This window comes from Homo sapiens, chromosome 16, assembly GCF_000001405.40.
Source record: "Homo sapiens chromosome 16, GRCh38.p14 Primary Assembly".
In the NCBI taxonomy this organism is placed as follows: domain Eukaryota; kingdom Metazoa; phylum Chordata; class Mammalia; order Primates; family Hominidae; genus Homo; species Homo sapiens.
In genome coordinates this window covers 34381483-34390501 of record NC_000016.10, presented here as the reverse complement: position 1 = coordinate 34390501, position 9019 = coordinate 34381483, and the positions used below count along the sequence as shown (strand labels likewise).

Below are 9019 nucleotides of genomic sequence, written 5' to 3'. Positions count from 1 at the left end.
GAAGGAGAATTAAATGAAGCGATGTCTCACATATTCAGCATTTTGGGGAAACTCATACAAGTGAATTTTCCAGGATGAATACGTATATTTTTTGAAGTAATCAGATTTAAAGAATTGTAACTGTTGGTTTATTTTTCTTTGCTTCTTAAACATTATACACTAAAATCATGTCAGAAGTATACCATATTCTAATATAAAATAGTTCCATCTTTAGTGAAGGTCAATCTCCTGACAGTGTGACTATTTAATAAAGGTAGAGATATGTGATCGCTGCTTCCAATTTGCCTTGAATGAGAAATTTCCCGTATCATTGGAATTCAGCATAAACGGAGAGTCACCATGCTCTGAATGATGGTCTGAAGGCAGGGATGCTGGAGCATAAGGTAGAATTTTGCTATAATATTGGATGTATTAAAATATATATCTTTTGATTTATATTTATTACATAAACAATTCTAGCAACCTCATTTCTTATCTTCCCTTCTGTTAACTCAGAGACGTCCCCTGTTTATTTTTTTTTCTTGGTAGTTTTCTGAGCTGTTCAATCTTTCAGACAACCAGCTTGTGTCTGAACATATGTATGTGTGTGTGACGCATGCACATGTCACAGAGTGAGCTGTTGTGTGTGCATATGTGTGCGTGTAGATGGTTGAGAGGCACCAATGACAGGCTGTCTGGGTGCAAGCAGGCCAAGCCCCACTCCTCAAGATGGAGGAGGAGCTGCTGCTCCCGGTGGGGACTCCCCAGTAGGCCACTGGGGGAAGCCCCACGACCCAGACAGCAGGTGGAGAGCAGCAGCTGGCCGGAGATCGACTTCAGCGAGAAACTGTGCGGAGCTCCAGCAGCTGGACTTCCTGGAGCAGAAGAGCCGCTGAACCCCGCCCCTGCTGATCTCACTGCACACAGCCTAGGGCCCCACCCGCCGAGGACTCCAGAACCTTCTCCTACCAGCTCGCCCAGAGACCAAGCCAAGAGAGTGGTCTCTGAGGAGCCCGCTAGAAAGGCAAGGCGAGGCCCGCAGAGAAGGATGCCAAGCCTGTAGAAGCAGAGACGTCGGGGATGGGGGACCTGCCCTGGGCGCCGCCAGAGGCCCAAGCGCCCAGCACCGCAGGAGCTGGAGACGTCGCTGAGCACCAGGTGGCGCCGGCGCGGTTCCTACAGGGAGCCTGGAGGCAGGCTGCGGGGTGGCTGTGCCGGGAGACTGGAGCGGCTCCTGGCTCCGCGCAGGCAGGGCCCCCAGAGACAGCTCATGCAGCAGATCCGCAGCCCCGGGGCCCTCAGGCACCGCCGCGGCTGCCGCCCTCGCTCAGTCCCGAGCGCGTCCACCCTGGCCAGCCAGCTGCCCCCGCTGAACCTGCGCCGGGCGCTCCGGCTCTCCGTTCGGGCCCCAGCCAACCCCGCGGGCTCAGGCTCCCAGTTCCTGTCCCAGCCTGCGCCGGCTCCAGCGCCCCCGGCTCTCCAGCTGCTCTTCCCGACTCCTATCCTTGGCCGCCCCCAGCGCGGAACCGACCCGCGACCCTACCGCCAACATCGCGGGTCTCGCCTCTCGCAGCCTTTTTGGCGTCCGCGCCTCAGCGTTGAAGCCAGGGCCCCTCGTGAGCTCGGCGCCCAGCCTGTCAAGTCCTCTTCTGCCTCAGCTCTCACAGCAGTGTCTTCCCCGCCTGCTGGTCGGCATCGCGCCACAGCCAATGTCTCCTGTTGCTGTCCGCCCCCGCGAAGCGCTGCAAGGGCCAGCGCCCAACCTGTCGCTGCGGAAGACCGGGGCATAGAACCTGTCCTGGTGCTGGGCAAGCGCTTCCGCCCCAAGTCCCCGACCTGGGCAACCTGGAGGAGCCCAGGGAATAGCGCTCAGGACCCAGAGGCTGGACAGCCAGCCCGCCCGCCCGTCCCTGGCCACGAGGCGCCCCGGACCTGACCACCGCCCCCGCCACCTCCGCCGGTGGGCAAGGAGGGTCCCCTTTCAGCCTGCAGTTCCTCAGCAGAGAGGAGGGCCCTCCGCAGGCCCGCGCCCGGTCCCACACTGGGGAGAAGCCGTTCAGCGGCGCCATCTGCGGTAGGGCCTTCACCACTAAGGGCAACCTCCAGGTACACTTGGCACTCACATGTGGAATAACCACCCTCACAACCTCCCCCAAGGCGAGCTGCCGCGGTGGAACAGTCCATGGCTCTGCTAGGGGATGATGGCCTGAAGTTCTCTGAAATATTCCGGAAGGATCTGACAGCCCAAATAATGAATGGCGACCCCAATATTTGGAACCAGGAAGCTGCAGCTCACCCCCAGGAGCTTCCCATAAAGAACAATGAGATTTCCATCATTCAGAACAGAGGCTTTTCCCAGATCCCAGGAAGTTTTGGCTGCTGCACCATCCCTCTGGGTACCCTGGGGTGCAAAGAGCGCAAAATAGCCCTCCCATTGTCAGTCTGGACAACGCACCTCAGCAGCCTGCATAGCAGGCAGCGTCCATTCGCCAGGTTACCCAGGAGAACAAGGAGATGGTCTAAACTAGCTCAACACACGGGACTCGCGTCCTTCAACAGTGAGTCTGACTGTTCTTGAGAACTCTGCAACCTTTTAAGTGAAAAAAAAAGGTGATTGCAAAACGGCCTCAGGAACAGAAAGAGCCCAGGCAATCCTCACTTCTTTTCTACTAAAACCCAGTAATCCCTAGAGGGAGAAAGGGCGTCTCCTGCAGTATTCCACTGAAACTCGCTGGTTTTGCTCGAATTAGACACTTGAACTATGTTTTTAGAACTCTTCATCTTAAAAGAAGTGGTTTAGTAGTCCAAATGCTGTGTATTATGACAGTGTCTTCCTCTGACGTATTTATAATGTTAAGATTATGTGGGCAACAGACAATATAATAACCCTAACCTTAAATGAAGTTTATCTACTTCTGAATAAATCTGGCTAGGTAAATTTTTTTAAGCAAGATTTGTTTTACTATAAATAAGTGGATTATTTCAATGCAATGTGAAGTTCTATTGGGAAAGAGAGAATGCTTTGTGTGTACAAGTACCTGTCGGTAAGAAGCTTTTTTTTAAAATTTAAATGTTTGTAGCCACTATGTGGACAGTTATTTTCTAGTGTGGTCTGTAGCCCAATGACTGGGGAACAAGTTACAGACAAAATATCATAAATTATTGACAATATTATAAGCAGTTGTGAGTAAATATTTTACATTATTAAAGCTGTGCAATAATAAGATAGTGTTTCCGGGCGGGCACGGTGGCTCACATGTATAATCTCAGCACTTTGGGAGGCTGAGGCAGGCGGGTCACCTGAAGTCAGGAGTTGGAGACCAGCCTGGTCAACATGGCGAAACCCCGTCTCTACTAAAAATACAAAAAAAGCCGGGCGTGGTGGCAGGTGCCTGTAATCCCAGCTACTCTGGAAGCTGAGGCATGAGAATCTCTTGAACCTGGGAGGCAGAGGTTGCAGATCAGGCCACTGCATTCCAGCTTGGGGGATAAAGTGAGACTCTCCAAAAAAAAAAAAAAAAAAAAGAAAAAAAAAAGATGGTGTTTCTATAATGTGATTGCAAACTTTTAATGTATGCGATTGGACTTTCTGTATTTTGTATTAGAAAGGTTTGTTTATAATTTGAACATTTAAAATTATGTAAAGTATTTCATGAATCATACTCTAAGGAAAATGAAAAAACCAATGTTTTGTTTGTCTTAAGATCAAACAATGTTAGAAATCTATGCTACTTTAACAGAAGAGCCACCAAAACTTGTTAGCTCCTCAATACAATAGGAGCTGCTGTTTCTTAAAATGATTTAACTTTTCTACAAAGCCCATTTAAAAACTGTGATCATCCCTAATGAAACTTTGATGAATTAATCTTAGGACTGTGACATCAGTAGAGCCAGGAAGGAACTAGGAAAACACTGTTAAATTTTACTGTAAGCGGGTCTGTCTCTCTCTCACATTCCCACAGACAAGATTGTGACTGTCTGGTAGCACTGGTCATTTGGACAGTTAATCTGAGAAAAATAGCCAGTATCTGGCATCATAATCACTCATGGCTTTGACTTTTTCTGGTTTCCTGATTTATTTATTATCTTTTCAGATGAAAGCAAAACACAATGTCCTCTGATTATTCGGAACACAGTCTGATGCTGATGGCCTGTCCATTGTATCCAGTGAGAAAAGAGGCCAGGACACTGAGGCAGGCTGAATCAAAACTTGAACAGAAGTGTTGTGTGTATCACCTCATTTTCACGCATTTCAAGTGTGCTGGCACCTGACATTATAAACTTCCAACAACAGAATTGTTCAAGAGATGTTCAAGAGATGTTCTGAGTAGCTGAGTGACAGTGCAAGGAGGTGCATGGTTCCTGAAGAAAGAATCAGACAGTGAAGTCTTCTCAGTTGAGACAAATAGAAAATCTCTTTCTCACATAACTACAGCGATAACAGAAAATATTGTAAGAGGATGAGCTATTTTTGCCAGTGCATCATTGAACAAAAAAGTTTCAAAGACTCATTAGCTGTTTACTTCTGTTGGAAATTAACGTTGAGCTCTAAAAGTTTTCCATAGTGTTGAGATGTAACTCCCCCATGTCATACCACATGTTGTTCCCCATCATAAGATGTTGTTCCCTCATCATAAGATGAGGGATTGAGGGTGTTGCAAGCATTGGGAAAAGAAAACTGAGGTGGCTTAATGTTGCTGTGTTTTAGCAGTTGAATGCTTTATTATTTATCTGGTTTTTTTTTGTATGATTTTTTTGGTTAGTATTTGGTACCATGTAGTGCTGTGTCTTCTCCCAAAAAGATGTGTATTTAGCTTAGGAAAGAAATGCAAAGTGTGGTTGATAAAATGGCTCATGAAAGTGCAGTGAGACTGACCCCATCCTGTATTCAGGGATAGGCCATCCCTCTCTGCCAGTGAAGAGAGACACTATCTTTATACCGTAATACCACGTAGAGCTAGGGCTTCCCTGATCCAGCTGGGGATTGTTACCTACACCCAATATTGTTTATTGTTAAATCTTGTGGCTTGAAATGTCTACTGATTGAAATGGATGTCTTGGTCTAGGTTACTATTTTTGACATATGTAACTGAAAAAAAAAGCAGGATGTATATTTTAATTTTTTAAAATTTACCATTTTATTTCACGTTATTGTACCAAGCTCATGAAATGTTTTACTATTTGTCAGAAAAGTGACATTATGGCACATGCATTCTAAGATTTAATACATTGTTTTTAGGGAGGTTGAAATACAGTATCCTGAATCTTAAATATTATAGAACTCTTAAACAATTTGGCTTAGCTGGAGAAGGCTGGGGTATATTTAAGAATGTTATGTGTTCTGCATTACTCCTTAAGAAACAGATTTTCAGGCTGGCTGTGGTGGCTCACACCCATAATCCCAACACTTTGGGAGGCCGAGGCAGGAGGATTGCTTGAGGCCAGGAGTTCGAGACCAGCTTAGGCAACAGAGCAAGACCTGATCTCTATAAAAAAATAAAATAAAAAAAGAAACACGCTTTTGAGATAATAGTGATAACACCTGACTCTGTTACATATCACACTAAGACTAATTGAAGATAAGGAAAATTGGTTCTTGAGATAACAGAGACAAAGTAGACAGAACACATTGATTTCTGATGTAACACATAGTCAGTGTTTGAGGAAACTGTTTATAGAAAGTGAAGCCAAAGTACTTTATTTTACCAAGGTAACTTTTAATAACCCAACTGTTGGATGAATAAAGCTTTTTGAAAAATTCGAAGCAAATGTTACTCATCATTTGGAGTCTGGATGTCCCAGTTCACAGGGTTACTTCTGAAATGTAGAACACATGCAGCCTTCTGATCAAAGGAGAGTGAGGGGACTGCTCCTGCCAGGGCCCAGTTCAGCCGCAGGACCCCATGGCGGCCCATGGTCTTGGTCCATGCTGTGGGAGCAGTACAGGATTTATTCACTCAATAAACATTCACTAGGGGCTTACCATGCCGTGGATCCTAGGAGTCTGCAGAACACATCCAGCTGAAACCCTCTTCTGCGGTAGACCTTCAGTTATTCAAATACTACTCTCATTTTTTCACTGAAATGTTGTCAGTCATTCTCAGGATAAACATCACTTGTTTCTTTAACCAGTCCTCACTTATTGTGGTTTTCAGTTCCTTCATAATCCAGCAGTCATGGAAGGAAATGGGAGAAGGTGGGAGAGGGCTTTCCAGTTACTGAATGGAAGTTGGGCTTCCAGTACCAAGGACTTTGGGAAGCAGGCCATACCCTTTCAAGGAGTGCGTTATGAATGCAGTAATTCACACAAGTATTAGACATTACAACATATATGGACTGTAAGTTTTTGTGGCTAGAGGATTCACTGGTATATTCACGGGGAAGTGAATGCTTTTGTGAGTGAGTTTCTTATCCTGCAGAAACGCTTTGGGACCACATCAGGCTGCATCACATTGACTGTCTCATGTTGTTTCTCAAAATAGTCATAGATTCCATGTGGTTAAATCACCCATTTTAAAAGCAAAGCCAAATTTATTTCCTACGACCATATTTGACCATATGGTCATAATTCCTATGACCAATATGACTATATTATTTCCACATTTCCTGTGACCACAGGAACACCTCAGGGCATCACTAGACAAGTAAATTATGGTTTTGACAAGTATCCACTGATACAGAATCATTGAATGGTAGAGCTGGTCAGGGCTTTAAAAAGTCATCTATTCCAATGCTGGTTATTTGCAAAGAAAGGGCTGAGAATCACAGTGATTATATAACCTGCCCACAGTCACAACAGTAGTTAAGTAACCACACTGGGACTCGTAACTCCATATCTTGAATTCTAGACCAGAGCTCTCTATCCTAAAGCAATGTTAGAGGTACTCTTTTTAATTATACTAATAAAAAGTAATTTTTTATGCAGACTGGCTCTCACTGTGTTGGCCAGCCTGGACTCGAATTCCTGGCCCTAAGTGATTCACTCACTTTGGCCTTCCAAATTGCTAGGATTACAGGAAAGAACCACCCCACACCTGACCTTTGGAGGGACTCTGGCTTTGTGTGTTTGGGCTAGCCTTCCTGTGTAGTCAGTAAGATGTTCCTGCAGTGTACTTTGGGATCTTTCTGCACAAATTCAGTAGACAGTGTGATTTTTTTTCATATAATAAATGTATTGCAAATAAATTTGCAATAAATAAACTAGACAATTAATTCACAGTTAGTAACCTACGGCCTAGAAAATTTCATTTCTTTATCCACACATGTTTGTAAGGAGATGATTGAAGAAGTAGTCTAAATATGCAGATTCCTAATCATCCCCAGGAAGAATGGAACCACTGAAAGGCAACCTGGGAGGGTGTGTGGGGTTGTTCTGAGGTTGTGAAAGCCACTGAAATTCACACATAAGGGGATAGTAAAAGGGAATCCACATCTTTTGAGTACCTTCATGTGCTGGGTATAACTTGGTCTTCGTTAAGATGATGCACCACCTTTGGAGTCAGACAGAACTGGATTGAATCCCAGTTCCATCGCTTATTACTACATGATCGTGAATGTGTTTTTAGCTCATCTGAGTCTCAGTTTTCTCACCTTTAAAAATGGGCTTGTTATGAGGCTTACGTATGGTACATATGTAAAAATCTAGACACAATGCCTGTAATTTTGTAAGCATTCAATATATGGAAGGAGCAGTATTATATTTCCCTCATTTAATCTTTAGAGCAAGTTTATAAAATTTGTGTTATTATTCATATTTTTTAGATAAACCGAGGATGAGAAAGATTACATAAATCACTCCAGCCTGGGCGAGAGTGAGGCCCTATCATATATATATATCCTATATATAGCTATATATAGATAGTTTTAAGATAACAGATAAAATAAAAATGTCTCCAAAATTTAGAAATTTGTTTCGAATTAATCAGTGCCCCTGGCAGATCATTTAAGTTAAAATTTTTCTTCTGATACTTGCTTTAGTTGTCTACAAATTCATGCCCTTATACTTGATCCTTCTACATAAGCAGAAGTCTAATTCTAGGCATTGTTCTTTGTCTGGAGCTATGCACCTAGTACATAATTAATTAAAAGTGCTTACCTGTCCGACTGCAGTGGGTCACGCCTGTAATCCCAGCACTTTGAGAGGCCAAGGCGGGTGGAGCACCTGAGGTCGGGAGTTCCAGACCAGCCTGACCAACACGGAGAAACTCCGTCTGTACTAAAAGTACAAAATGAGCTGGGCGTGGTGGCGCATGCCTGTAGTCCCAGCTACTCAGGAGGCTGAGGCAGGAGAATCGCTTGAACCCAGGAGGTGGAGGTTATGGTGAGCTGAGATCGCGCTATTGCACTCCAGCCTGGGCAACAAGAGCGACACTCCGTCCCCCCACCCCCCACCAAAAAAAAGCAATTATGATCACATTTAAAATCTTATTATGTGGTGGTTTTCTCTCCTCTCCTCTCCTCCCTTTCCCTCCTCTCCCCTCCCCTCCCCTCTCTTCTCTTCTTTTCTTTTCTTCTTTTTTTGAGACGTAGTCTTGCTCTGTCGCCCAGGCTGGAGTGCAATGGTGCGATCTCGGCTCACTGCAACCTCCGCCTCCCAGGTTCGGGCGATTCTCCTGCCTCAGCTCCAGAGTAGCTGGAACTACATGCGCGTGCCACCACACCCGGCTATTTTTTTGTATTTTTAGTAGGGACGGGGTTTCACCATGTTAGCCAGGATAGTCTCGATCTTCTGGCCTCATGACCCGCCCGCCTTGGCCTCCCAAAGTGTTAGGATTACAGATGTGAACCACCGCGCCCGGCCCAGTTTTCTTTTACATAAGCCTCTTCTTTTGTTGAAAACATAAGATCTTCCTCACAGTGGAGAAACCTGAAAGCTCCCAGCAGCCAGTAATGAATGAAAGGTGGGGGCGGGGCTGCCGGCATGGCAGGGCCTAGTGAGCCTTGTGCCTAGGCTCCTACATCACAATGGGGGCGGGGGCACGTGGAGGGGTCTCTGGGCCTGATTGGTTCCTGGGAACCGGGAGGGAGCTCTGGCGGTTGG

The 9019-nt window shown here is 45.5% G+C and overlaps 1 protein-coding gene across 1 annotated transcript, besides 1 other annotated feature; it reads left to right on the top strand.

Annotated features, from left to right (window-relative positions):
• Window positions 1–9019: part of a sequence alteration artifact (region identified as an assembly artifact by the Genome Reference Consortium. This region falsely duplicates sequence located at GRCh38 chr16:34827082..35072498) that runs on past both edges of the window.
• LOC124903767 (putative uncharacterized protein MGC34800) lies at window positions 681–1607 on the top strand. The gene has a single exon (XM_017023960.1). The coding sequence runs from the start codon at window positions 1060–1062 to the stop codon at window positions 1579–1581; it is 522 nt and encodes a 173-aa protein (XP_016879449.1). The 5' UTR covers window positions 681–1059; the 3' UTR covers window positions 1582–1607.

Bases quoted from the DNA above. Each gene is read 5' to 3' on its own strand.
- LOC124903767 (XM_017023960.1), top strand. From the start codon at position 1,060: ATGGGGGACCTGCCCTGGGCGCCGCCAGAGGCCCAAGCGCCCAGCACC.